Here is a 27,639-nt window from a genome sequence, read left to right on the forward strand (position 1 = left end):
AGTCCAGCCCACAGTCTTAGCAGGGCAGCAGCCCTGCAGCCTCCCCGCTGGCACGGTCACAGGCCGCTCTGAGGACTGGAGGGACCAGCCGCCCACAGAGCCCCGAGCCCGTGGTCCCGGTGAGTGAGCGGAGCTGTGCTGCGTGCAGCTGGGCGTTTTCCTAACGGCCCTGCCCCTGTGAGAAGGAGGGGCTCGGGAGGACAGCCAGGGAGCCCAGTCCCACGGTGGTACCTCCATCTCCGGGAGGTGTGGGCTGCCCACATCTCAGCTTCCCTGGCTCCCACAGAATCACAGGGCAATGGCTCCGAGATGGTAGCCCCGGGCAGGCTCGGTGCACTTGTGTCTGAGTCTAGGGGCTGGACGCAGGTTCCTGGGATGGGCCCTGCGGTGGTGTCTGTGGCTGCAACGCGGCATACCCAGGTGCCCGCTCCCGAAAGCCAGCAGGTACTTTGTGCCTGGTTTTACATGTACTCGGGTGAATTCCACGGACGCATTCCACCACCCAGGGACGCAGGGCGGGCAGGTGCATGTGTCTTAGCAGCAACCAACCTGGCAGCCCCTGCCATGTGGCACAGTCATGCCTGGAGCCAGGAGAGGGTGTGTCCAAACCCACGGGCCAGGCCCTCGTGGGGGTGCCAAGCGTCTGGGGGGCCGGGAAGTGAGCCTGCCTCCCTGCCACTGCCATTGCATGCGTGTCCTCTGATGGCCTCACATGGGGCTCCTCACAGCACCTGGGTGCACCCACTGGCAGCTTCCTGGACGCTCAGTCGGCGCTGCGGTGAAGGTGACACCGGGTGCATGGGACCCCAGGGAGGTGCCCCAGGCGCAGCGTCCTGATCTCCGATTCGCGCTCCTCAGTCTTTTGGGTTCGGAACTCTTGCCACCAACTCAGCACAGGGAGAGGCCTGAGCACCCGGCCCACCAGCCCCTCAGGCTGTGCTGCCCTCGGTCCTCTAGAGCTCCAGGCAGGAAGTCACATCTTTACAATGAAACTTCTTTCTAACAGCAGAAAACCAAGGCTTGTCTTTCTCCTTTATGCTGAGGTCCTGGGTAAAAATCCACGTGGAAGGACCCATGCGTGTAAAACTAGTTTATAAACGGCTCAGACACAGCTGCCCCGTGCTGAGACACGCCTCAAGACTGGGGGTCCAGGGCTCCCCAGAACGCTGCTGGGCCTCATCCGTCAGCAAATGATGCACGTGGAGTGCAGTGCAGGGGTCACATCTGAATCTCAAAAGAAACACTGTGTCCTCACTGCACAGCTTCCAGTCAGTTCTACAGATCGGATGGAAGGGATGCCACGGCTCCTCACAGACGTCTCACTTCTCTAACATCTGGGTGGTGGCAGCACTGGGGCCTCAGTGCGTGAGGCGTGATGGCCGCTTCGTAAACACCACGTTGTAAGACATGCAGTCTTTTTTACTCTCCTGTCCCAAAAGACTTCACGACGGGAATCTTTTTTTTTTTTTTTTTTTTTTTTGAGACAGAGTCTCACTCTGTCACCAGGCTGGAGTGTGGTGGCACGATCTTGGCTCACTGCAACCTCTGCCTCCCGAGTGATTCTCCTGCCTCAGCCTCCCGAGTAGTTGGGACTACAGGCATGCGCCACCACACCCAGCTAATTTTTGTATTTGTAGTAGAGATGGGGTTTCATCATGTTGGCCAGGATGGTCTCGATCTCTTGACCTTGTGATCTGCTCGCCTCGGTCTCCCAAAGTGCTTGGATTACAGGTGTGAGCCACTGCGCCCGGCCCACAACTGGAATCTTTAAAAAATCTCCCGATTGTGCACACCCTCTCCCGAGGCCCAGGTGTGGGGCTGGACAGGGCTGGGACCTGCCTCTACCTGCCCCGCGTGGCTCCTTTCCTCTCCCTTGTCCTGAAAACAACTGGTTCCTTCCGTCCACATCCAATTGCGGTGGAAAATCACAAACAAGCACAGGAATGTGGCAGCTGACTTGGGTCCCAGACGGGCTCCCCTGTGCTCTGAACGCCCCGTCTCTCCCACGCGGAGGCCACCCGTGGGGAGCGGGAGAGAGCCCGCCCGTGGGGAGCGGGAGAGAGCCCGCAGGCCGGCCCTGGTTTTGCTCTGGTTCCTGGGGCCCATGTGTGACCGAGGACCCAGCCAGCACACCGTCAGATGCCCGCACTTCCATGTGCCCTGTCCTGGGCATTAAGTCTGCACCATGCGGGCCTTGGAGAAGCATGTGCTGTATGTGCGGCCACCAGTGGAGGCTGGACACGCCCTCCTACAGGCCCCTGCCTGCCAGGCCGAGGCTGCTGGGAGAACCCACGGGAAGGGCGGTCACAGACCCGCCAGAAGCGTCCAGACCCAGGCGCTCTCTGCAAGCTCCTTCCACAGCCAGCCTCCTGCTCGAGGGCACCAGCCCCGCGTGATTCCCACATCCTCTCCGCGACGGCCGGCCAGGGCTCTCGGGACAGCCTCCACTCCGGTGTGGGGTTCTGGGGTTTGTGCATCTGACATAAATTCCAAGAAGTAAACACCCTCTTAGTTCCCATCCAAGTCTTGAGAATTTCCTGTTGTCCCGGCCAGTCTGTGGAGTCACCCACATCTGCACTTCATCAGCCCCGAGGCACTGGAACAAGAAGCAGATGGGCGGCAGGGGACGCAGCCTTCAAAGGTCCTGCAGAAGCTCTGCCGAGACCACTCTGTGTCAGGATGAGGGTGGCTGGCGAACAGCGGCTTGACGATCATGCTTGCCGAGGCCGCCCCCTCCCTCCGTGTCCCTGTTCTGTGCTAGGGCTCCCGCTCTGCTGGGTATATGGGAGCCGCAGGCACATATGTGGGAGGGGGCAGTGGGACTCCACCGTGACCAAGACCCCAAGCAACAGGGAGAGCAGGAGGGTGTGATGCACTGTGGGGGAAGCCCACCGCCCAGCTGCGAGTCCCCTTACTGGGAGTCACCCCCCGAGAGCCACAGATCCTCCCAGGAGGGTCGCTCTTAACTTACATGCTGCTCCCAGGCCTTCCGCCCTCCCGCGCCCAGCCTGCCATAGCGCGCAGGGTTAGAAGCGGCGTGACAGCTGAGGGCACAGGGACCTGGAGCACCCCAGAAGTGCCAGGAGAGTGGAGGCCGATGCTGGCCTCTGCGAACCAGGACTTCTGGGGGTGCTGCCGCTGTGTAGGAGTCTGGCCGTGGCCTCCTCCCCACTCAACCTGAGGAAAGGACCAGAGCGGGCCGCTGAGACAATCAAACGTGTCCTCTGGGCTCTGAAACCCAGCATTGGCTTTTTGTTGGAAGTTAGCCATTTGAAGACTCCCGAAAGATTAATGGTTTAGTTAATTAAGGAGGAAATAAATTCTTCCCCCATGGAAACTTTTGGGAGACTTCCCTTTCAAGGCCCCCTTCTGCACCGTGTGCTTAGGAACACTGAGTGTTTGAGACACTGCACCCCCGTCCACCTCCGAGGAGCAGGGCACAGGCAGGAAGGGCTGGGGACATCCCCCCAGGGCCTTCCGAGCCACCCGGGAGAGTGGGGGCCGGCAGCACCACTGTGCCCCGCACGCCCCGTCAGGTTCCGGGGGCTGAGAACAGAAATAGAAACAGCAGCTTTTCCCTGGGCACAAGCCAAGGAAGAGGGGAAAGGAGAAACCTGACGGACACGTCTGCGACAAATCCCCGGGGAAAATCCCCCCCAGGCACGTCCCTCAGGAAGCCAGTGGAGAAACGCTTCTCAGGACCCAGCACGCACCACGGGCTGGTGAGGACGGAGCTGCTGCCTTTCTGGAACAGACACAGGGCGTGTGTGGGGAACCTTGCTTCACCTGTGGATATACAGAGCCACATGCCAACGTGTGAATGGAGACTGGTCCCAGGAAGTGGCAGCTCTCGGGACCGCCCTGAGCCAGGGCCCAAGCACGGGCAGTGCAAGGACAGGAAACGGTCAAAGCTCTGCTGTTACCACAGGCTGGGAACAGGACTCTCTGTCCCAGCACTGTCTTGGGCGTGTGCCCATGAACAGTTTGCACGGATGTGGGACACCTGCATTCACGAAGCTTTGGAGCCTGGGTAGGCTGGGAATCCCATGCTGGGTTTCGGGTCTCTGGAGATGGGACAGAGTAGGAGACCCTCTCGTGGTGTCTGCCCAGCTGGGCAGAATAATTCTGAGCAGAATAGACGAAGATGCTTCTGAGCTCCCTGGCAGCATAAGCTCTGCCCGAGAGCCTGACCACTCACAAGGTGACCTGCCTAGTCCTGTCCCCAGCTGTGGGGGGTGACCGTTCCCATCAATAGCAGAGGTGGCCCAGGCCCCACGTGACATTCGCTCTGTCCCAGGCCCCGCTGAGAGCCCCACCCAGCACATCCAGAATCTTACCCTTCTTGCCACCTAAGAATGACCTGGCCTCGAGGTCCTCCAAGTACAGGTCCCTGGCCCCGAGGTCCTCCAAGTACAGGTCCCTGGCCCCAAGGCCCTCCAAGTACAGGTCCCTGGCCCCGAGGTCCTCCAAGTACAGGTCCCTGGCCCTGCAGGTCTGGGTGAACTTGCTCCCTCCAGGCACACGGGTCTCTCCCCTTCCCAGCAATCCTGTGATATCTGCCCCCCTTTTGAGGGCAGCATTCCCGTGGCGGGGGCAGGCCTGGAACACACGGGCGGGGGGAGGCTTGTGGTTCCTATGGTCCTGGGGGTACCTATGGTCCTGGGGGCAACTGGATGGCTGGGGGGTGTGAAGTCCCCAGGGCAGGCAATAGTCGCTCAGTACCAGCCTCCAGGCCCCGGGGGCCACCAGGCTTAAAAGCAACAGGCGAGACGAGGGATCTGTCCCGCACCCGGCATCCCTGGCCTCTCCTCTGGGACAGGAAGATGGGGAGGGGCGGCAGGAGGTGGGCCTGGAGCAGGGCCTCAGAAGTCTCCTGGCCTTTCCCATCAGGAAGCACATCCTGTTGGTGTCTGGCTGCCGCGGCAGGGCCGCTATTTGTTGCGGTTGGCTACGCCTTCCAGCTCACCAAAAACAGTCTCAAAAACAACCATTTCCTCTCTGCTGAGAGCCAGGGAAGGCGAGCTCTGCGCACACGGGCGTCCCTGCAGCAGCCACTCTGCTTTCCAGGACCGGCCAACTGCCCTGGAGGCATCCACACAGGGGCCCAGGCAGCACAGAGGAGCTGTGAACCCGCTCCACACCGGCCACCCTGCCCGGAGCCTGGCACTCACAGCAGGCCGGTGCTAAGGAGTGTGGCGCGGGCTCGACTCCCACTGCTGCCGGCCTCCCGAGTGACTCTGTTTTCCACTGCTGCAGGCGAGAAGAGGCACGCGCGGCACAGGCCGGCCTCCGCTTCCCGGGAAGACGGCGCACTCCTGGCCCTGGGTTCTTGCTGCTGCCCACCCTCTGCTCCCTGGGATGGGCCCCGAGGCGAGCAGCTTCAGCACAGGCCTGGCCCTGCTCCAGGTGCAGGAAGGAGGATAAGGCCGGGCCGAGAGGCGGCACACCTGGACCATCCCATGGGCCTCCGCCCGCGCCGCCCCGAGGATGAGTGGTGATGTCCTCTAGCCACCCCTAGCAGCGTCGGCTCTCCCTGGACGTGCGGCCGCGGACTGGGACTTGGCTTTCTCCGGATAAGCGGCGGCACCGGCGTCAGCGATGACCGTGCAGAGACTCGTGGCCGCGGCCGTGCTGGTGGCCCTGGTCTCACTCATCCTCAACAACGTGGCGGCCTTCACCTCCAACTGGGTGTGCCAGACGCTGGAGGATGGGCGCAGGCGCAGCGTGGGGCTGTGGAGGTCCTGCTGGCTGGTGGACAGGACCCGGGGAGGGCCGAGCCCTGGGGCCAGAGCCGGCCAGGTGGACGCACATGACTGTGAGGCGCTGGGCTGGGGCTCCGAGGCAGCCGGCTTCCAGGAGTCCCGAGGCACCGTCAAACGTAAGTCCAATTGTTTTCCTGATGCCTTCAGCGTGGCCGAGGCTCGAGGGCACATGGGAGATGTTAGGCGCGGACCTGGTGAGCGGGTGGGGAGGCCTGGCCCCTGCTCTGCCCTGAGCGTGGCCTCTGGGCAGGCAGGAGGGGGCACTGTGTCTCCCAGGGAACCAGGCCCCAAGGCCCCCTCTCCCTGGTGAGTGGTGGCCCCACACACTCCTCCTGCTCAGCACAGAATCTGCCTCCAGCTCTTTTACACAGGAATTCATCTCAGGCATTTGGGGGGCCTCTCTGCCGTTACACATAGTTAAGAGATGGGTACATTAATCAAATCAAGGAAAGGCATTTTTCCTTGGTTGAAAATAATTATTACGGCTGGGCGCAGTGGTTCACGTCTGTAATCCTAGCGCTTTGGGAGGCTGAGGCGGGAGGACTGCTTGAGGCCAAGAGTTCAAGACGAACCTAGCCTACATAGCGAGAGACCCTGTCTCTGAACATAAAAAAAAAATGAAAATGCTCTTTCTTTACTCATGAGTAAAATAAACAAGAAGTTTAAAAATACACGGGTGAGTTCTGGCTTTGTTCTCACGGTTGTTGGGGTCTTTGAGGCAGAGAGCAGCAGCAGGATCCCCAGGGATGAGCTTCAGATGGGACGCTGGAAAGGAGACAGGGAGGCCAGGACGCTCGGAAGGGGACAGGGATGCTCAGTGGTTGCAGAGGAGAGGAAGGGGCTCAGAATGATGCCACCGCACCGTGGGGTTTGAGTGGCAGGTGTGAGGCTGCATAAATAGGAAGGCGCTTACAGCCCATGGGGTCATCTCAACAGTCACGGCACAGGGACACAAGGTCTCCCAAAGGCCGACTCTCTGAAACTGTCAGCAAGGTTTTGACTCGCAGACACCCCAAGTCTCTGCTGCAGAGCCTCACAGACTCGGGGTTGGACGCTCCTTCTGCTCTGAAGATAATGCTGGTCTCTGAGGCAGTGCCTCTGCTCCAGGCTTCCGAGGGAGTCCCGGAGTACTGGGGTAACACACATCACGTGTGCCTCAACCACACAGCTCCATCCCCAACCTGCCGCGCTCAGAACCCTCAGCGGGGAATGTCATCCCCACTTCACAGGCAAAGAAACTGAGGCTTTGCAGAAGGCATGTGGCTTGGACAAGGTCCCACGAGGGAATTCAACCCCCTTGTCCACTCAAAGGCCCTCGGCTGCACCGCACAGCCTGGACTGCGCACTTCCTCTCGCATCCTTCACCAGCAGGGACCAACAGCCGTCTTTTAAAAAGATCAAAGCCTATGAATAACTTCAAAGCTTCCACCGGCTCTCAGAACTCGGTGTCTTATGGGAAGCCCGAGGCTTGGGTCTCCGCGTGACTCCGGCCAGGCGCCCTTCTTCCAGACTCTGCCTGCTCTGCTGAAGAAGGAGCCGCAGCCCCGTTACTGTGCTGAACCTCTCGCGGGGGCAGCGGCTTTAGGCCCCTGGAGGTGGGGCCGGGCGCTCATGTGCTTTGGGACCATCACTGGCGTCCAGCCCACAGAGCACCCCCGGGGGAGGGAGTTCCCAGCCGGCCCTTGGCCGCAGCTCTGCACCTCCAGGCCTCCTAACTGCTGCCACCAACACCCACAGGTGGCCCAGGCAGCCCAATCTCAGGGCAGCTGGAAGCCTTGGCGCCCCTCCCTGTTGCTACCTCTTGCGTTCCTCCAGTCACAGGGCCGCGTGTAGCCTCTGGCACGACCTATGCATCCGTCCCAGGCGCCCGGCTGTCCACTTGCTTAGGCCTGCTCACCTCAGGCCAGCAGGACACACGAGGCCCCTCACAGAGCCCCCTGGACTGCCTCCTGCTCACCTGCCTGCGTCCACTGCTCCTCCCTGAGCCCTGGTCAGCCCCTTGGACAATATTTACAACATCCTCCTGCAACTTGTATGGCATCTGCAGGTGGCTGACCCTCAGTGAACCTGAGCAGCGAAGGTTTGTCCACACAAGGGAAGCGTCACGGAAGCTCCTTGTAAACGGGACTCAGCTCAGGAAAAGGAACAGGCTCAACGGGTAACTTTTCTTTAATTTTAAAATTTATTTTAAGACAGAGTCTTGCTCTGTCACCCAGGCTGGAGTGCAGCCACCACATCCCCCAAGGCCCCAACACGGGGACGCGCCCAGAGTCTCCCTTGGCCGTGCTGGTGTCTTCCTCCTGCCTCTCTCGCCTTCTCCTTCACCGACGTCCATCTGCACTGGTGCCCACCTCTCCAAGCCCACGTGCTGCTCTCCCACGGGGTGGCCCCTCTGTCCACAGCAACATTCGCTGCCCCCACTCACGTGCACCCATGTCCCCAATCGGGTGAGGGGCTGCTACCTGCCACCACTGCACATCAAGCTAGCCTATGAACCTTTCTGCAAAATCCTGCCGTGTGACCTAGGCAGGCCTGGGAGTCAGCCCTGGCTGGGGGCAGCAGCTCTAGCCTGGCCACCCCACTGAGTCCAGCCAGCTCCTAGCGTCTTCCTTCCTGCCTTGGCCAGTGTTCCTTGTAAAATCACCCAGCACGTATGATGGGCTGCGACCGTCTGTGCTGTGAGGCTGGGTGCTGGTTTGCTCACAATTCCATCCCGAGAACCAGTCTAGGGTCGGGGTGGGGCAAGCCAGGGAAGACAACGTCACACCGCGTGCCTCCTCACGCAGGCCAGGGAAGACAACGCCACACCGCGTGCCTCCTCACGCACACCAGGCCACCCTCGGGGTTTCCGGATGTCGCTGAGGCCCGCGTGGATGTCTCCGGACGGCTCTGTGCCCTGAGGCCCTGCCCCATGGGGCACATGGAGTCAAAATCATCCAGCGCTCGTCACTCGCAAACATCACCAGGAGCCTGCCTGAGGGACAGGGGACGCGCCCCGGACATCCTGAACTCTGGTCAGGGCAAAGAGGGCTGGACCCAGGGCAGAGGAGCCCGGTCTCGACTTCATCCAGGTTCAGGCCCTCCCGTGCCCCTGCCAGGGGTGTCCTGTGGCCTGTGGTGAGTGGGACTTTCATTACGGATCAGGGGTGCTCTTTCCCTGTGAGGAGCTCGGGGGACCAGGGAGGCCTGAGGTCCACCTCACATGCCATGTCCAGAGGGGGTCTCAATTTCTCCTCCTCACTTCGTCTCGTTTTGGATATTTACGTCATCTCTCTGTATTTCGTGCGTTCTGTCAGGCATCTGAAACAAGGTGGCTTGGGAACAGATGACCGTGTGATTGAATCTCGAGGCAGGCGAGCCAGAGCCTGGCGCTAGCTGAGGGGGAGCCCCACCCCTCTCTCCGGTGGCTCCACGTGGCTCCGTCACCACGCATGCCCCGCCACACATCAAACGGGCACGTAAGACCCTGCCTGAATACAGGTGGAGGACAGAGCTCCCGGGCTTCACCCCCTGCTCGGCCAGGACCCAGCTGAACCACGTTCTCACCGACACCTTTAAAAGTCAGCTGCTACCACGCACAGCCACGCAGAGCCACGCAGAGCCACGCACACAGGCAGCACCCCAGGAACCCGTATAACACCCAAGCAGTGAACGCCAGCTCCAAACAGCTTTCTTGGGGCAGGCGGGAGCGTGGCTCAGACAGGAAGGCTCGGGCAGGAGTGCCTCCTTCCTGGCAGGGCGGTGGGTCTGTGGGTGCCCTTGTGGTGAGCCATGCACCCTGGGGACTTGGAGGCTGCAGAGTGGCTTGTGGGGCACGGCTGCTGCACAGAGCCCCTGCCATGGTGTGTGGCACAGGGCTGTGTGCCTGGAGCTGCGAGGAAGGAAGGCTGAGAGGCCAGGGCTGAGGGCGAGAGGACAGGTCAGGGGTGCGTCTGCTTATTCCCAGCTCCCAGGAACCTTGGTCACTCACCCTCACCACAACTACACGTGCAGCTGTGCCTGGTGCTCAAGCCCACCTCGGTCATGCCATTCTGGGCTATGCTCCTCCCAGGGCAGCTCTGCATCCCTCCTCCCCCTTCATTCTGGTCTTTCCTCCCCTCCAGGGCAGAGCGCAGAGCCCTGGGCAGGGAATCTGAGCTGCTCCTCTCTCGAACATGACCTTCTGCGTGATGTTTTAATGCCTCCCTCATTTTGCAATGTTTAGAGAAGCAGAGGCTTCTGAATGGAAGTCATTGCCAAGACAGTTAAGAGCAAAGATGGCACAGCACCGTGCCACAGATCCTGCTGGAAGGGGCCTCCAGAGCTCACACACGTCCCTAATGTGTGGACAGGACGCCCTCAAAATGCAGGCCTCACTCCGGTCCCTGCAGGCTGTACGTGGTCACTGCTTGGGGCTGGCTGTGGAGTCCGTTGGAGCAGTCAGGAAGGTCCTGCCAGTCAGCCAGGGCAGTGTCTGCCTCAACCCTGGCTCCTGCTGGTCCCATCTGCACAGGCCCTAGGGCAGGTGAGAAACCCAGGGCAAAAGCGCCCCCTACCTCAGGCCTCACCAAGCTGCACGGTGCCACGCGGCCCCCCACCTCAGGCCTCAGCAAGCTGCACAGTGCCAGATGGCCCCACGCCTCAGGCCTCAGCAAGCTGCACAGTGCCAGATGGCCCCCCACCTCAGGCCTCAGCAAGCTGCAGAGTGCCAGACGGCCCCACGCCTCAGGCCTCACCAAGCTGCACAGTGCCACGCCGCCCCACGCCTTGGGCCTCACCAAGCCACACGGTGCCAACGCCGACCCAAGCCTCAGGACTCACCAAGCCACACGGTGCCAAGCCACCCCACACCTTGGGCCTCACCAAGCCGCACAGTGCCAGTGACGTCCCATGCCTTGGGCCTCAGCAAGCCACATGGTGCAAATGCCGCCCCACGCCTTAGGCCTCAGCAAGTTGCACGGTGCCAGGCTGAGGTCAAGCACATCTCTGCTGTCCTCTGGCATTTCCAGTGCCCTGGGCTCTGCCCCTTCCTCCAAGCACTCTGGCCCCACGGCCACCTATGCCCATGCTGAGCCAGGTCCTCACCTGCTGCCAGGCTTTCCCGCTGTCCGTACGGGAACCCCTTGGCCACCAGGCTGGCTCTCAGCCCCCGCGTCTTCTGTTCCTTCTTTAGAGAGAACCTCGCGGGAGCGCTATGGTTTCTAACTCTGCAGTTACTTTGGAGATGAAGGAACGTGAGCTCTCAGTTACGTGGCAGTGACGCTCACTGGGGTGTCTGTTTTGCTGCGAGAAAAATGAGCGAGGGGCAGCTGCTGCCGCTTCCCATGGCCCTGTCAGTGGTGCCTGCCTGTCTGCGGGCAGGCAGCGTGCTCCGCTCTCCCCCTTGCCAGCGGAAGGCTCATGGTGCCATGTGCTGGCTGCTCAGACTCCTCAGCAGCCCGGGGACCCCGTGCCCCAGGGTCCTTCATGCCTCCACTCTCTGCGCACTGCCCTCACACCCTGGAGGTCTCAGGGCTGGGGGCGCCACCCAGGCCGGAGCGGGCACAGTGGAAAAGCCTGGCATCCAGGAAGGAGAGCTCCCTCCGCCCCGAGTGACAGGAGGGGACGCTGTGGAGGGAAGCAGCTTGAAATACAGTGGGTAGGACGGCGGGGGGACCCTCAGTGGCGAGGAGCAGTGTGCCTCCAGGGATGCTGGGACGCCGAAAGCCTAGACTGAGACGATCCCACACACCACCTCAGCCTGGGGCCGGGGCAGATGTGAGCGCTGGAGCAGCACCCAGCCCAAGGGCCAGGTGGGAAGCAGATGCCTCGGCTCCAGAGCTTTGAGGTTATTCTGTGAATCCAGATTGCATTTCAATAAATGTTGAGGTTGAACCGTGTGGAATTGCTAATACTGGCAATAGTGGTTCCAACGGATACTTCTAACCACGTAAACACTCACGAAGTAAAGCAGCCCGCATCCCCCACCACCCCTGAGCCTTGATGCCAGCGTGCCTGCCCCGTGCACGCGTGAACCTCGACAGCTTCCCCTGCTGGGCTGGCTTCCCACAGGCGTGCTCTGAGGAGGCAGCTTGAGGATCTCCCCATCCCCTCTCGGCCTCCACCCAGGACACACAGCAGTCACCCTAGAGGCCAGCACCTTCAGGGCTCTTGGGACATTCTGCTGCTCCCTGGATTCTGGTGTCTGTGATGAATGCGGGCACAGGGACCTGCTCCTGAGCCTGGATTCTGGTGTCTGTGATGGATGCGGGCGCGGGGACCCGCTCCTGAGTGGTGAGGCTGCTTCCCTCTTAGATTCCTGCATCAGTTACCTGAAGAGTGCCCTGAAATTTCAAGGCAAGTCATTTAAAAAGGTGCAACTGTTTATAACGACTTAGTTTTGGGAATCGAATTTCCCAAATATTGTTCAATAGAAAACAAGGCATGGCGATGACAGGCTAGGGACTCTGTGGGGCTGTTGCTTCACATGCAGTCCCTGACTCCAGGCTGAGTGTCTGTCAGCACACACATTGTCTGCTCTGCAGCGTGCAGGGGCCTGGGAACACACTGCTTCACCACCACCTCATTTGGGCCCCTGTGTAAGGTTTTATTTGCGGGAGAACATTTCTCTGCTACAGAAACGTGACGAGCCCTGGTCCCTGAGGGCAACAAACGCACCTCCCTCTGAAGTTCACTCACAGAAGGCTCCATCTGCCCCTGACCACGCATCCATGTGCCCTGCCCACCTGGCTCCTGCAACCAGGTGTAGGTGGGGGACAGAGAAGGCTGGGCACAGGCCTGCTGTGAGTGGGGAAGCAGGCCCTGACTTAAGCCACTGAGTGAAAGATTTGTGGCAGATGGGGTGACGGGGCCCCAGGAGGTGAGGGGGGCAGGTGGGGGGCACTGGTTCAGACCCATGTCTGACCCCTGCTCAGCCCCTTGCTGGTTATGAGGGGCCCAGATGAGCTGCTTCTCCTCGGTCCCAAGTCCCTCAGCTGCTGGGAGGAGGGAACACCACCATGAGCCGCTTGGGGGTCGGGCAGCTGAGCACGCAGGACAGCACGCCTGAGGAGCTGGCCCCCCGCGGAGTCTCCGGTCAGGCAGCGCCCTCGTCTTGGATGCTGTGAATTCAGTGACAGGGAAGCCGGTGTTGCTGGTGGGCTTCCCCTTCCCACCTCCACCCCCACGCCAGCGCCTTCAAGGGTCAAGTCAGGCAGAGAGGAACAGCTGTCTCAGGAAGACAGAAATAGCAGAGTAGGGCCCGTCCCTGCAGGGATACGACCACTGCAGCCAGGCCCGGCGGCTGGGATGAACCCTTCCCATCAGGAAGACATGGGACCCAGGGCTTGCAGGCAGGTGAGGGGGAGGGCGTGATGCTTCCCGAAGCCACTGCCCAATGGAGGCACAGCCTGTGCCGACCGCCCTTTCCGAGGCAAACAGAGACCACGAAAGTGGCGTGACGGCTGGCGTGGCCTCTGGAGCCCACCTGCACTCACCACTGCCTCTCTGCTCTTGGCCCACAGTGCAGTTCGACATGATGCGCGCCTGCAACCTGGTGGCCACGGCCGCGCTCACCGCAGGCCAGCTCACCTTCCTCCTGGGGCTGGTGGGCCTGCCCCTGCTGTCACCCGACGCCCCGTGCTGGGAGGAGGCCATGGCCGCTGCATTCCAACTGGCGAGTAAGTACCTGGGCGGGTGTGGCCACCGCGCCCTTGCCCCCTGTGGCCTTCTGGTGCCACAGGAGGGTCCTGAGGCCTTGGGTGGCCTGGGGGGAAGCTGCAGGCCATACCTCTCAACATGGCCACAGGCCACTGAGAAGCCCCATGGGGCATCCTCCCTCCCTCTTGCTGTAGGCAAGAATGATGAAAGACAGAAACACACCCAGGCCAAGGAGCAGGGAGGCTGCGACCACCTGGCGTGTCTGTCACACCCTTTTCCACTTTAAAGGCTGAGGCACTTTGCTTTCCTGAGTCTGTGGGGTCTGATTGCTGACTGGCCCTTGTGCAGTCCACATGGGGCAGCCTGGGTCCTGCCCCTTCCTCAATGCTGAGGCAGCTGGTGGGGAGCAGCCCCTGGGCAGAGGCAGAAGAGCCCATGCCTGGCCCTGACCTTCCCAGCTAAGAGGCCTAGAACAGGTCAGGCCTAGGAAGGCCAAGGCATGTGCTCTGTTATAAACGCAGCTTCCTAGGACCTGCCTGGGGTCAGCCTGGGGTCAGCGCAGGCCCTTTCCGTGAGCGGGACAAGACAGAGTGAGAACACGCTAGCACGTTCCACACTGCCTGAGCCGACAGTGAGGTGCCTGCACGAGCACATGCTGTGTGCCTGGCTCGGACACTGATGCAGACGGCAGGACCATCACGAGGCCCTGGCTTCCCCAAGCCGCCATGTGAGTTGGGGAGGAGGCCCGGCCTTGCAGGCGAGGGGCCATTGGTGCTCAGAGCCTCCTCTCAACGCTCTAGACCCAGCAACCTGGGACAGGTCTTGAGAAGACCTGGCGTCATAGAGGGTGACAGTGATGGAGTTGTCGTCAACGACCTATGGAAGGGTCCTGCGGTGTTCTAGACAAGTGCTTGAGCCACAGCAGTGTCCAGCCATGACCCCCAGCGACCCCAGGGGGCTCTGCTGGTCTTCTGTGGCTGACTGAGAGGTTTGAAGACTGTGGGCATCTGGGGCAGGCTCAGGTCTCCTGCTGCTCACTGGGACAGGTCAGCCCGGTGCCCGCAGAGACAGGGACACAGAGAAAGCGAGCATGTCGGCCCATGGCTGAGCATGACCAGCACGGAGCTGCCCGCACCCTCCTTCTCCTCCTCGAGGCCGGTGCAGCGTTCTGCAGGTTGCCCTGCAGTTCCCACAGAGGAAGTGGCAGGAAGTCCAGAGTGAATCATTCTAGGAATAATGATCCTGGGCCCTTATCTTTCTTAAGAAATACAATTTCCAGAAGGAGGCTGACAGACTGTGGGGGCAGGTATTCCTGTGCTGGAAAGTGCCCTGAGCGAGTCAGGCCGGGCTCTCTGAGCGCTATTAATAGCATGGCGTGGCCCTGGGCAAGTCACTTCCCCTGGCGGGTAGGGGCGGGAAGGGAGGGGCCTCGAGGCTTCAGTGGAAGAGCACAGGGCGTGGAGCCTGGAACTGGAGCTGTGTCTTGGCTCCATCACCATCGACGTGGGGTCAGGCAGATGACTAAACTAACGTGAGCCTCTGCATGCCCAACTTCGAAAAGGGTAATTTCTGCCCCCACCCAACTGACTGTAAGAACGAATGAGACAGGGATGTGGGACCTAGGACTGACTCCGCCTCCTCCCCTCCTGCATGACTGCAGGGAAAACATGAGACTCTCAACGAGGTACCCAGGCTAGGAAAGCTCCCACGGGGCCCTCTGCTGACCCGAGGGCCATAAAACAGAGAAGTGGTTTTCCTGTCTCACTGAAATGGCCAATCTCTACCGCGTGCAGGAATCGGAAATGCCGTGGCTTAAAGAAGGAAATGGAAGATTTTGAAAATGTAATTGGAAATGCTGGGTCAGAATAAAGATATTTTAGCGGCATAGAGAAAGCAAAAGCAATAGTTTTTGATTCTGAAAATAACTCCTTCTGTAAGATAACCCAATGGATCACTACATTTCTTTTTTTTTTTTTTTTGAGATGGAGTCTTGCTCTGTCACCCATGCTGGAGTGCAGTGGCGCAATCTCGGCTCACTGCAACCTCTGCCTCCTGGGTTCAAGCGATTCTCCTGCCTCAGCCTCCCGTGTAGGTGGGATTGCAGGCACCTGCCACCACGCCCCACTAATTTTTTTTTTTTTTTTTGAGACGAAGTCTCACTCTGTCACCCAGGCTGGAGTGCCGTGGCACAATCTCGGCTCACTGCAAGCTCCACCTCCCGGGTTCACGCCATTCTCCTGCCTCAGCCTCCTGAGCAGCTGGGACTACAGGCGCCCGCCACCATGCCCGGCTAATTTTTTTTGTATTTTTAGTAGAGATGGGGTTTCACTATGTTCGCCAGGATGGTCTCGATCTCCTGACCTCGTGATCCGCCCACCTTGGCCTCCCAAAGTGCTAGGATTATAGGCGTGAGCCACCGCGCCTGGCCACGCCCCACTAATTTTTGTGTTTTTAGTAGAGACGGGGTTTCACCATGTTGGTCCAGCTGGTCTCGAACTCCTGATCTCAGGTGATCCACCCACCTCAGCCTCCCAAAGTGCTGGAATTACAAACGTGTGCTACTGCGCCCAGCTGGATCACTGCATTTCTTTTTCTTTTTTTTCTTTTTTTGAGATGGAGTCTCGCCCTGTGGCCCAGGCTGGAGTGCAGTGGCGCGATCTCGGCTCACTGCAAGCTCCGCCTCCCGGGTTCACGCCATTCTCCTGCCTCAGCCTCCCGAGTAGCTGGGACTACAGGCACCCGCCACCACGCCTGGCTAATTTTTTGTATTTTTAGTAGAGACGGGGTTTCACCGTGTTAGCCAGGATGGTCTCGATCTCCTGACCTTGTGATCCGCCCGCCTCGGCCTCCCAAAGTGCTGGGATTACAAGCGTGAGCCACGGCACCCGGCCCAGATCACTGCATTTCTTAATAAATCTCCTTGAAACTCTTGTTTAGAATTATTAGGACTACTGTGGATTTGGCATGTCGAAAATGACAGCTTACTTCCTGCAAAATCTTATTTCAGGACAAGATAGTGTTTCTAAATGTATTTTAAAAAATCACACATGGGGGCGAGCACCCTGATGGACTAAACCGAGCTGTCTTACAGCATTCCCGGGGGACAGGGCTGGAGGCCTTCGGAGGCCTGTCCTGGTCAGGAGGGATGGTGGCGGGGGCGGGACTGTGCTCCAACACGACCTCTGACAAGGTTGGACCAGGCTCTGTTCAACAACCGCCAGAACGGCAGGCACCAGGGCGAGGGCCAGCAGCACCAAGAGGGCCCCTGGTGTCTCGGTGGCTTTTCTTGCCCCCACAGGCCACCTCTCCCCCTCAGTGTCCAACCATCACCCCTAACGGGTCTGTTTTGCCCAAAAAGGAAATGCATTTTGGCCCTGTTTAGACTTGTTTCATTGACAAACAGGACAGAAAGTAGCTATGTGCCTTTCTTCTATCATGTTGCTAATTTTAGAGTCGGGTTTTTTTTCCTGTACTCGCGTCTGTTTTAAACAGTCAGGGAGAGACTGAAGGGCGCCAGGATGTCCTGTCACAGGACAAGGAAACGCCTGCTATTACCTGTTATGCAAGTGAACCTCGATCCCAGGGCTCGGCAGAGGTGGGGTGGGCAGTGGGGAGAGAAGATGCTCATGAAAGGAGGAAAAGTACATGGAATTATGGGGAGGCTGGAATACCCTGGAAAGCCAGAGTGCAGCACACTGAAAGGAAGGCTCCTTGTCAGCTCCAAAGAGAGGCGATGGGGCCTGTGCTTTTGCTCTCGCTCCATGAATGTTTCTGGGCTCAGTGCCATGCTCAGCACGACGTCTGGGTCTGCAAAGGGACCACCCTCCTCGCCCCTCAAGGCTCCCTCTTCCCTGCTCTGACACCCAGAGAGAGCAGCTGAAATGTGCGGGGACCCCACTGTCCTGGCTTGGCTGCCGCTGCCCTTGGCATTCTATTCAGAGCTTGCATTCTGCTCACTCCACAGACCCCTAGCTTCTCCCCTCTCCTCCTCGTGGCCTCTTTTCTCTGCACTGCACCTCTGTTCTTTCACAGTCTGTGGTCTTGTTGATTTGTGCAGATAGGCACGGGCAGAGAGGGAAAGGAGTATTGAAGGGGGTCAGGGCAAGTTGCCAATGGAAGGTAAAAGGTCATTACAGCCTCTGATGGCTGCAGCCACAGCATGACCCTGGCACCTGACGCCTGAGTGGCACAAGGCTGAGGGCGACTTCTGCAGGCAGCCTAGGCCGGGAGGCTCCCTGGCACTCTCCGGTGCCTGAGGATGCTCCGAGCCCTCAGGTGTTTCCCAGCTGGATCGCTGGCTGGTTCTGCAGGAGCCCAGAGCAGGTGGCCTGGGTTCTGCTCCTGGCTCTGCCCCTGGTCAGCTGTGAGTGCCTGGACGAGCCCCCCTTCCCCTGGTGTGATCTGTGCAGTGGAGAGTGACCACTCCAGCGCACAGATGTGCCCTCGTCAGCAATGCTCGCAGCTGTTATTCCAGCGTCTCTCTGAAGCCCTGCTGGGTAACATGCATGCTGAGAAGCTTCAGGCCCGAGGCGCATCCCACGTGCTCCCTGGTGCAGCACCTGTGCTCCCCACCTAGGCCTGTCTCCCTCGGGGGCGCAAACTGTCCTCTTGGCAAGAACACTGCCAGGATCCGTTCATGGAGCAGGGCCCTCCCGCCCGCAGCTCTGGCTTTCACACAGGGCCCGGGCCTCAGGGTCTGCTGTCCTGAGCCCGGCCTGAAGAGAACACTTTTCGGTGGTTTGATCCAGCAGCCCTGCAGAGCTCTGTACTTGGGTTGAGTCATATCTTCAATGGGCAACTCCTCAGCTGTTGCTGGAGCCCCAGGGCAGCTGTGCTGTCTTACTTGGGCTAGCATGAGGAGGTCGTGGCCATGCAATGGGGTCAAGCCAGTGAAGTCCCCGCCGTCCCCCAGTCGGTGCTCACATGACACTCTCTGCATCCGTGTGGGGACCTGTGGCATCTTTGCTATAAGTATGCTGGGCTTAGCTGGGTTTCCCCTTGTTTTGGTGCCAGAGAGGTGGGCATGATGCCGAAGGCTTCTCGCCTGCTTCTTCCTTGAAACAGTCCCTCTTTCCCACTCCCCATTACCTTGTAATTTGTATAAATGACTTCCAATCCTTTTTGGAAAATGGTGGCATATAACCCAAAATTCCCTGGACATGACATCGGGGCACCAGAAGGACACTAGAAAGGGCACCATGGATGGCACTGGTCCGTCCCGATGCCCCGTGACACACTGAGAAGCTGACTTGTAGAAGTCCGCTCTTCGTGTTTTATTCTGAACTGCCTTCAAAATGGCATTTAGGTTTTCCTGGAGACGCTGACTTTATCAGTCCTTAAATGGCCAGCAGGGTTGATACTCACTGACATGGAATCTTGCTCGCTGGTGAGAAAGTCTGCTGTTCTCTTAGACTTGGGAATCGTCTCGTGGAAATATACACTTTTTTGTTATTTACAATAACCCGGTTCTTTGCTTGGTCTGGATTATTTATTTATTCGAGATAGGGTCTCACTCCGATACCCAGCCTGGAGTGCAGTGGTGCAATCTGGGTTCAATATAAGTTCCGCCTCCCAGGTTCAAGTGATTCTCCTGCCTCAGCCTCCCGAGTAGCTGGACTACAGGCATGAGCCACCATGCCCAGCTAATTTTTGTATTTTTGGTAGAGATGGGGTTTCACCATGTTGGCCAGGCTGGTCTCAAGCTTCTGACCTCAGGTGATCCACCCACCTTGGCCTCCCACAGCGCTGGGATTACAGGCGTGAGTCACTGTGCCTGGCAAATCATCTATTTATTTCTTAAAGCATAGATGGGGTCTTGCCACGTTGCCCAGGCTGGTCTCACACTCCTGGGCTCAAGTGATCCTCCCGCTTCAGCCTCTCAAAGTGCTAGGATGAAGGTGTGGGCCACTGCAATCAGCCTGGTCTGGATAGCTCGCTTGCCTGTCTTTGGTACCCACTCCCCAGGCATCAGTTTATGTCCCTTCGTCTCTTCTTTCCCTTCCAACTTTGGCTGTTGAGAGCTTCGGAGCCTCTCGCTCTTCCCTCCCAGGGCCTCTCCCTCTAGAGAGGATTGTTTGGGTCACCGTCATCTTGTTGCTCACAGGTGGGAAATGCCAGCCCCAGCAGGGACTTGAGGTGGCCAGGGGGCCGTCTGCTCCGCATAGATTCTCTTTAGAGCCAGTTGCACCCAGTTTGCTAGCTCTGCAGCTGTACGAAGAGCATCAGGGGTCAGCCCTGGGGTCTTTCCACTCTGCCACCTGTGTGCATGTGTGACAGCCATTCCAAAAGGAAGGCCTGTGACAGAAGCTGAAGCCCCAAGAAGCCGCAGGAAGGAAAGGAGAGGGGAAAGGGCTGGCTGGGCTGCAGAGCTGTAATTCACACTGTCCGGGCGGCTCACAGGAAGAGGTTGTTTGCTTTGGCAACACAACTTCATGAAATGGAATTGATTCCATGGGCAGAATTTCGTGTTTGCTAAAACTCTTCCCTTACATTTGTTTCTAGACAAACTGATGAACATGATTGAAGTTTTGGGAGAAAAGTCTTCAGGAAACAGGACAATGAGGAGAGAGGGAATCTTAATATAAAGATGGTGGGAGAATGGAAAACTCAAAGGTTTAGGGCCAGCCCCAGCCCTGTCTCCTTCCACCCCTTCCCATCTCCCCCACGTAGGGAAGGTGGGAAGGACAGAAGTAAAAGGCTTCAGAACGGCATCCACAGCGCAGTGCGATCATGCAGCTGACTCAGTCACCTTCTTACGCGCGTCTGGAGGCCAAGGTTAGAGCAGCACAGCGAGGCATGTAGCTACAGGCGCCTCTGCATTTCCGTGTATTTGTTGGCTTTTTACTGCTGACAGGTGGAACACACGGAAGGTTCCCTCATGCCAGGCATCTGTTCACGACGTGAACCTTTCTTCGTCAGGGTAGGATCTGGGCCACCGTCCTCCGCAGGAGCCACCTGGCGCTCTCCAGCAGCGGTGCCCCTGCCTGCTCTGGTGCTAGGACGAGGGCAACGTCCCGTTTTCACCGCATGCCTAGGGCCGCGCAGGTTCATGAGGTTCAGGGCCTGGTGGCGCCTCTGGGTCTCACTGGCGTCCGAGGGCGCTGTCCTAACCTTCCAAACCCCTCTCTACCCTAGTTGTGCTCCAAACAGAACCAAAGACAAACAAAAGCCGACGCTGCTCTCCACACAGAAGTCACGTAAATGCAAAATTTTACTTAGCCTTTTTTCACACAAGGTACAGACCTAGAATTTTCCCATCTGCTTCTGTGGCAACAAAAATGCCAAGTAAGCTCCAGCCTTGGAGCTGTACCACCAGCGAGTGAAGCGCGGCTCCCAGAACGCGGCTCCAGACGCACCCCAGGTGCTTTTCTTTCTTTCTTTGTTTTTTGAGACTGGCTTTCGCTCTTGTTGCCCAGGCTGGAGGGCAATGGCGTGCAATCTCGGCTCACCGCCGCAAGCTCTGCCTCCCGGGTTCAAGAAATTCTCCTGCCTCAGGCTCTTCAGTAGCTGGGATTACAGGTGCCCGCCACCACGCCCGGCTAATTTTTGTACCTTTAGTAGAGATGGGGTTTCCCCATGTTGGCCAGGCTGGTCTCAAACTCCTGACCTCAGGTGATCCACCTGCCTCGGCCTCCCAAAGTGCTGGGATTACAGGCATGAGCCACCACGCCTGGCCACTTGTTGCTAGATTTTCAAAGACACAGCTTTCTAGACTCATGACTCAGGGTTGGCCTGCCCTGTTCCCTCCTGCTTTGTGACGGTCCCTGCCTGTTAGGCTTGCTGTTTACACCTGATCTGCCACCTTGATTACTTTTCCACTCACACTTTTAGGATGTAGGGCCCATGTCCAGGTTGCGTGTGGACATGTGAACTCATACTTCTTTAATCAGTTTATCTACATTCTGAGTCTTTTTTTCTTTTTCTTCTTCTCTTTTTTGTCGCCCAGGCTGAGTGCAATGGTGCAATCACGGCTTACTGCAGACTCGACCTCCTGGGCTCAGCCTCCTGAATAGCTGAGGCTACAGGTGTGCACCACCACGCCCAGCTAATTATTTGTACTTTTTTGTAGAGGCAGGGTTTCACTATGTTGCCCAGGCTGGTCTCAAACTCCCGGGCTCAAGCAATCTGTCCACCTTGGCCTTCCAAAGTGCTGGGATTACAGGCTTGAGCCACCGCCCCAGCCCCTTCGTCTTCTATATTTAGAAACAGTGTTCTTGGAAGCAGACAGATGCTCTGAGGCCTGAGCTCGTGTTTATGGCAAGCAACACAGCCAACCATGCACAGGGAGGTCATGTCTGGATTAGAATGGTCGACCCATTCTAATGCTCTAAACGACGCATTTTCAAAAGCTATGACACTGATCTTAAGAAAATAAGTAAAACTCCTTTGTTACAAAAAGCACTTAAGAAAATAAATAACAATAAAACAACAGTTCAGGAAGCAGCGTGTGATGCTGGCCAGTGCCAGGCAGGCAGAGGGGCTTTCCAGGTGGGCCTCGAGGGACCCAGCGTCTCAGGGCTGGGGTGGCTCCACACTGCTAGGGCACCCGGCAGGCTGCCTCAGGGCAGGAGGCCGGGCTCAGTTCTGCCTACCCGCTCTGTGCTTTGCTCCATGGTTTAGCCTTCCCACTTTTAATTTAGAGTCTGGAGAGCCTTCCCTGCAAGCTTGACCCTCCACATAGGGCAAGGCCCTGCCAAATGCCACCCTCTGGGGACACAGAGATTAATGACTTCCCCATCTCTCTAAGAGGAATGCCAGTTCCCCAAGGAAAGTCAAGAGCGCCCTAGCCGTCTCTGTGGCTGACGCTGACCCTAGCGTGGTCCCCGGCGTGCCAGTGGAGGCTGAACAGGCCTGTTGAGTACAGGGCCACGTAGCCGATGCCAGTGGGTCCTTGGGAATCGTGCTGCCCCTCCGTGAGCATTCGAGGGCACCAGGGTAGCGGCATCTACGTGATCTGGCCAAAGGGCTCTGTCCCTTTGAGGGGTCCTGGTCACTCAACTGCCAAGGCTGCTGTTCCTCCTCGCCTTTCCCGCAGCTCCACACTGCATTCTGTTCTGTTTCACGTCTACTTTGGTCTCCTCAAACGATTAACTCAAAAAGTAATTGCGGAGAGACTTCTGGGAAGCTGTGGTCAATGGTGGGGCAAGTTCTGGCCCCGGGGAGCCTGCCCTGTGGCGGGGGAGAGCGGCCAGAGCCACCCATGGGTAAAGACACAATGACCACGGCTGGCAGGGGTGGGCAGGTGCAACTCTAAGCCGAGGCCCGAAGGATCAGCAGCAGGAGGGGCCCCTCCTCCCCAGGGCCAGTCAAGCCGGGGACAGTGGCACGAGGAGAAGCCCAGAGTAGGTGGACCCAGTGACTGAGAGGGGTGGAAAGGGCCACTGGGCCCCAGGGTGGCAGAAGGGCGGCCGCAGGTAGCAGGGGAGACCCTAAGGCGATGGGAGCCACAAGGGTGCTGAGTGCTGGGGAGACAGGATGTGAGTTTCATACAGATCAGGGTGCAGCGGTGGAGGGAGGGCCGCCTGCATCAGTATCCCCAGCAAGGTCACCCGGCACTGCTGCAGACACCTTGAAACGTCCAGCACATTCCTCACTGTCGAACCCAACTTCAGGACATGCTTGTTCACGGAAGAGCCTAAGATCAGCGGCACTTCAGTCTTCTACGGGGTTTTGTTGGGAGCTACCTATACAAAGGAGGCCACACCACACGTGCGTGGTCCGGCAGATCCGGCAAGATCAACTCTGCGGGACCTCCCACCCGGGCTGGTTGCCCTGTGTTGCCTTAGAGTTTTCTTCCCGAGGTTTTCCTAGAAAGCCACTGTAAATCCGAGCTGTGCACTCAGAAGCCTCCCGGGTGTGTCCCTGGTGATGTCCCCGGGGCCTCTCCCTGGTGACGTGTGGCCCGCGCTGTCCCCCTGCAATGACGGTACCTCCAGGTCCCCTATGTGTGGAAACTGACCCCCACGGCAACCGCAGACCGTGAGGGAGGTTGACCCTGGAAGCCATGGGGGGCACAATCCCTTTCCACTGTTCCATTCGGATGAATGATGTGTGGAACTAGAGGCCCCCTGAGATTTTAAACACGTTTCTGTAACACCCGCAAGTAGAAAGGAAGCCTGGTGAGGGGGAGAAACAGGCTGTGGCCATGGCGGGCTGGAGCCTGATGAAGGCCAGTTACTGCCGGTATAACCTCCTCCCGCCCTCGAGGGTCTCAGGGCTTGCATCGCCCCCCTGCTGGGCTGGGACTCTCCCCAAGGCTCCCACTGTCCCTGCCAAGAGCGCCCCACCCCTCCCGCTCGCCTCTGTCTCGGGTGTCCTGAGCTCTCCGCTGTGCCTGCCCTGCCTCCAGGACCACCTCCTCTGAGCCCTGACACCAGCACAACCCACACCCCACCGGCAGAAAGTGCCAGACCCCGTAAACATGAGTGGACGCTGTTCAAAGTGCCCTCATTTTCCTCACACACAACACAGGCTCATTCCTTCACCCCAGTAACACAAGCATCGATACCACACAATCGTGAGCAGAGGGCACATTCCGCACTGGTAGAAATGCCAGAAGTTTCCTTTGTTAGTATTCATTACAAAGAGAATGCTTTTTTTTTTTTTTTTTTGAAATGGAGTCTCGCTCTGTCGCCAAGGCTGGAGTGCAGTGGCGTGATCTCGGCTCACTGCAACCTCCGCCTCTTGGGTTCAAGCAATTCTCTGCTTCAGTCTCCTGAGTAACTGGGATTACAGGTGCCTGCCACCACACCTCACTAATTTTTTTTTTTTGTATTTTTAGTAGAGATAGGGTTTCACCATCTTGGCCAGGCTGGTCTTGAACTCGTGACCTCGTGATCCACCCGCCTCAGCCTCCCAAAGTGCTGCGATTATAGGCGTAAACCACTGTGCCTTGTCTAGAATGTTATTTTTAATAAAACAGAAGTATCCAGGAGCTACCCATGTATAAGAAGCTCCATGAAGTATTATAAAGAATGAACACAGAAACCAGTCACTGTCATTGTTCAGGACAAAATGGAGATAGATAAATGCTTAATTCATACTTTCTGGAGGGTACAGTGATGATGAAAAGATAATGCTTGGGTTTTTAGGAAAAACAAGGCTGGTTACCCATCTCTTGCTCTCTGTCTCTCCTTCCCTGTGTCTCTGTCTCTGTCTCTCTCTGTCTCCATCTGTCTCTGTGTCTGTCTCTGTCTCTCTGTATCTCTCTTGGTCTCTGTCTCTCTGTGTCTCTGCCTGTCTCTCTGTGTCTCTGTCTCTGTGTCTCTGTCCCTGTGTCTCTTTTTCTCCCATCCTCTCTCGATGCTGGGGCCACACAGGGCAGGGCATGATTTGGTTTCCTGGGGAATGCAGGGGAGGCGGTTGGGAGTGGAGAGACCGGCATGAACAGACGCACAGGTGTCAACATGCAGGCCAGGCGGAGGGACAGCAGTGGGGCTCGGCGTGGCCGGAGCCTGGGGAGGGACATGGACAAGTCCTCTATGGACAAGAGGGGCTGGAGAGTTTAATCTGGACCAGTGTAAGTTACAGAGAGTCTCTGGCACTTTGGGTACAAGAAACAGACTCACTCAGGTTACTGTAACAGAGAGGGAGGGGTGCTGGGTGGGCAGAAGCGGGGCTGGGGCTGAAGGCTGGCTGGAGGCCCCATGGCCTCCAGGACAATCTGTGGCCACATCCCCATGGCTGTAGGGGATGAGGAGGGGCAGGGCCATGTGGACAGCCTCTCCTCCATCCTAGAGCCTATGTTTCCAGCTGGATTAGGACGCCCGGCTCCATCGCTGCGGCCACAGTGTCCTGTTATCCTAGTTGGTAGACTCTAGTCACGAAACCCTGATTTTCCTGTTGTAAGAACTAAAAAGGTCTTTGGAGCTCCTCAAAGATAAAACTGTAAGTGAAACTGTAGCATCAGCGACTAACTAGACGGGAACAAGCTGCGCCAACCAAGGGTTGCTCACGGCCCACCTCTCCTTCTCTGGTTTCAGGCTCTGGAAAGAGAGGGGAAAGCATGGAAGGAAAATCTGCCAGGGAGGAGGGAGGGTCTAGAACGAGAAGCACTGACTCGGAAGTGAGGGAAGACACCAGATATAGCCAAGGAGCCCTAGACAAGGCCCTGGCCCCATCTCCGCCCTGCCTGAGCTGCAGACTCCAGGCCATCTGGAGTTCCCAAAGCAAAGGCCAAGAGCAAGAAAACTGTCAGAAGCATAGCTCTGGGCGCGATGAGCACCAAACTGACCTGTTTCCAGATAAGACTTAGAAAAGTCTTTTCTTTGAATGAATTAAGCATTTACAAAAGTCAGAGATGGATTTAACACAAAATTACTGCTGAGTCTGGGGGGCTAGGAAAGGCCCCCCCAAGTTGGTGTTGCAAGCATCAGTGCTGACCTGAAGAAAAGGCCTGCCGCCTGGCCAGGTCCCAGGAGCAGCACGCCAGGACAGAATTAAGCAGACACATACCACCCCTCCACAGCCGCCAGAGCCTGAAGTCCTAAGAGCCACAGAAGGGCTAATACAAGGTGGCTCAACACCAGGGCAGCCGCCCCGTAAAGCAGGAACCCGCTCTAGGACAGAGGGCTGGGGAAGGATAAAGCAGGCTGGAACCCGCTCTAGGACAGAGGGCTGGGGAAGGATAAAGCAGGCTGGAACCTGCTCTAGGACAGAGGGCTGGGGAAGGAGTGGAACCCGCCTTCCTCTCAGACAAGGCCTCTCAACCCTTCTCTCATCTGCAGGTTTTGTCCTGGTCATCGGGCTCGTGACTTTCTACAGAATTGGCCCATACACCAACCTGTCCTGGTCCTGCTACCTGAACATTGGCGCCTGCCTTCTGGCCACGCTGGCGGCAGCCATGCTCATCTGGAACATTCTCCACAAGAGGGAGGACTGCATGGCCCCCCGGGTGATTGTCATCAGCCGCTCCCTGACAGCGCGCTTTCGCCGTGGGCTGGACAATGACTACGTGGAGTCACCATGCTGAGTCGCCCTTCTCAGCGCTCCATCAACGCACACCTGCTATCGTGGAACAGCCTAGAAACCAAGGGACTCCACCACCAAGTCACTTCCCCTGCTCGTGCAGAGGCACGGGATGAGTCTGGGTGACCTCTGCGCCATGCGTGCGAGACACGTGTGCGTTTACTGTTATGTCGGTCATATGTCTGTACGTGTCGTGGGCCAACCTCGTTCTGCCTCCAGCTTTCCTGGTTAGCGCAACGCGGCTCCACGACCACACGCACTTCAGGGTGGAAGCTGGAAGCTGAGACACAGGTTAGGTGGCGCGAGGCTGCCCTGCGCTCCGCTTTGCTTTGGGATTAATTTATTCTGCATCTGCTGAGAGGGGCACCCCAGCCATATCTTACACTTTGGTAAAGCAGAAAACCAGGAAAATTTTCTTAAAATATCCACAATATTCCTTGAGTGAGTCAGAATCTATAGCCGGTTAGTGATGGTTTCAGACAGAATCGTGTTCGTGTCTGTTTTGCTCGATTCTTTTCCTAAGTTAAATAAATGCAAGCCTCTGAACTCTGTCTATAACTTGTGTTCTATCCATCTATACTGCGACATGGCTGAAAAACATTTGATCCACTTTTTTGTGATTTTTTGGGGGCTCACACTAAGGGTCAAAAAGACCTTTTCAGAGACCCCGTAGGCATACACACTCTTATCCACACTTCTGTTCAACCAAGTCTCAGAAGCCCAAGTCCTTACAGACTCTCTGATCAACAACTAGTAGAATAAAAGGGATGAGGTCTATTTGCTTAAAAACCTTCAGTCAGCCTGTGCGCGATGGCTCACACCTGTAATCCCAGCACTTTGGGAGGCTGAGGCGGGCAGATCATGAGGTCAGGAGTTCGAGAGCAGCCTGGCCAACATAGTGAAACCCTGTCTCTACTAAAAATCCAAAAAAAAATTAGCCAGGCGTGGTGGCGGGTGCCTGTAGTCCCAGCTGCTCGGGAGGCTGAGGCAGGAAAATTGCTTGAATCCGGGAGGTGGAGGTTGCAGTGAGCCGAGATTGTGCCATTGCACTCCAGCCTGGGTGACAGAGCAAGACTCCGTCTCAAAACAAAAAACAAAAACAAAAAACCTTCAGCCTATCTTTAGCGAAATGCTTGGTGGGCTACAAAATTCCTGCATGATGCTGCACTGGGTCCAAACAACCCCGTGTCCTAAATCTGTTAAGAGAGGAACAAGCTGTAAGTCCTTGAGTTGGGCAGAAAACATCTAACATCTACATCTGAGGGGTCAAAACCGGCCCATGCCCCCACCCAGA

General features: G+C 57.8%; 2 protein-coding genes across 28 annotated transcripts in view, besides 4 other annotated features; one reads left to right on the plus strand and one right to left on the minus strand.

The window, feature by feature from the left end:
* On the plus strand, positions 1–26,891 carry TMEM204 (transmembrane protein 204). 2 transcript variants are annotated; one of them, NM_001256541.2, is made up of 4 exons: positions 1–119; positions 5,257–5,878; positions 13,244–13,399; positions 26,105–26,891. In NM_001256541.2, exons 2-4 carry the CDS (start codon positions 5,599–5,601, stop codon positions 26,347–26,349), a joined length of 681 nt encoding a protein of 226 aa, NP_001243470.1. In that variant the 5' UTR covers positions 1–119; positions 5,257–5,598; the 3' UTR covers positions 26,350–26,891. The 2 variants fall into 2 exon arrangements, with proteins under 2 accessions (NP_001243470.1, NP_078876.2); NM_024600.6 differs by lacking the exon at positions 1–119 and having other exon boundaries at positions 4,989–5,878.
* Positions 1–27,639, minus strand: part of IFT140 (intraflagellar transport 140) — a 101,646-nt gene that overhangs the window by 18,251 nt on the left and 55,756 nt on the right. For 5 of the 26 annotated variants that reach the window (XM_005255726.5, XM_047434978.1, XM_047434977.1 and 2 more), the window contains one exon: positions 24,267–25,363. The exons of 11 other annotated variants lie outside the window; for them this stretch is intronic. In XM_005255726.5, the coding sequence (XP_005255783.1) occupies positions 25,357–25,363 (7 nt within the window). In that variant the 3' untranslated portion in view covers positions 24,267–25,356. Of the gene's footprint in view, positions 1–231; positions 3,471–7,925; positions 12,065–12,306; positions 12,842–24,266; positions 25,364–26,668; positions 27,542–27,639 lie in introns of those variants that run through there. 10 more of the 26 variants (XM_011522771.4, XM_047434975.1, XM_047434974.1 and 7 more) reach the window with 6 other exon arrangements.
* Positions 4,315–5,018: an enhancer, noted in NCBI's record as "H3K27ac-H3K4me1 hESC enhancer chr16:1582993-1583696 (GRCh37/hg19 assembly coordinates)". NCBI's record gives its function as "activates a minimal SCP1, AML or CMV promoter by ChIP-STARR-seq in naive H9 embryonic stem cells {active_cell/tissue: H9 hESC(naive)}" and the evidence as "EXISTENCE:reporter gene assay evidence [ECO:0000049][PMID:30033119]".
* Positions 5,019–5,722: an enhancer, noted in NCBI's record as "H3K27ac-H3K4me1 hESC enhancer chr16:1583697-1584400 (GRCh37/hg19 assembly coordinates)". NCBI's record gives its function as "activates a minimal SCP1, AML or CMV promoter by ChIP-STARR-seq in naive H9 embryonic stem cells {active_cell/tissue: H9 hESC(naive)}" and the evidence as "EXISTENCE:reporter gene assay evidence [ECO:0000049][PMID:30033119]".
* Positions 13,744–14,446: an enhancer, noted in NCBI's record as "H3K4me1 hESC enhancer chr16:1592422-1593124 (GRCh37/hg19 assembly coordinates)". NCBI's record gives its function as "activates a minimal SCP1, AML or CMV promoter by ChIP-STARR-seq in primed H9 embryonic stem cells {active_cell/tissue: H9 hESC(primed)}" and the evidence as "EXISTENCE:reporter gene assay evidence [ECO:0000049][PMID:30033119]".
* Positions 26,437–26,936: an enhancer, noted in NCBI's record as "H3K4me1 hESC enhancer chr16:1605115-1605614 (GRCh37/hg19 assembly coordinates)". NCBI's record gives its function as "activates a minimal SCP1, AML or CMV promoter by ChIP-STARR-seq in primed H9 embryonic stem cells {active_cell/tissue: H9 hESC(primed)}" and the evidence as "EXISTENCE:reporter gene assay evidence [ECO:0000049][PMID:30033119]".

Source organism: Homo sapiens, chromosome 16 (genome assembly GCF_000001405.40).
Source record: "Homo sapiens chromosome 16, GRCh38.p14 Primary Assembly".
Taxonomy (NCBI): Eukaryota; Metazoa; Chordata; class Mammalia; order Primates; family Hominidae; genus Homo; species Homo sapiens.

Bases quoted from the DNA above. Each gene is read 5' to 3' on its own strand.
- TMEM204 (NM_001256541.2), top strand. From the start codon at position 5,599: ATGACCGTGCAGAGACTCGTGGCCGCGGCCGTGCTGGTGGCCCTGGTC. The intron at 5,879-13,243 runs GTAAGTCCAATT...CTTGGCCCACAG, and splicing joins GTCCCGAGGCACCGTCAAAC to TGCAGTTCGACATGATGCGC. The intron at 13,400-26,104 runs GTAAGTACCTGG...TCTCATCTGCAG, and splicing joins CGCTGCATTCCAACTGGCGA to GTTTTGTCCTGGTCATCGGG.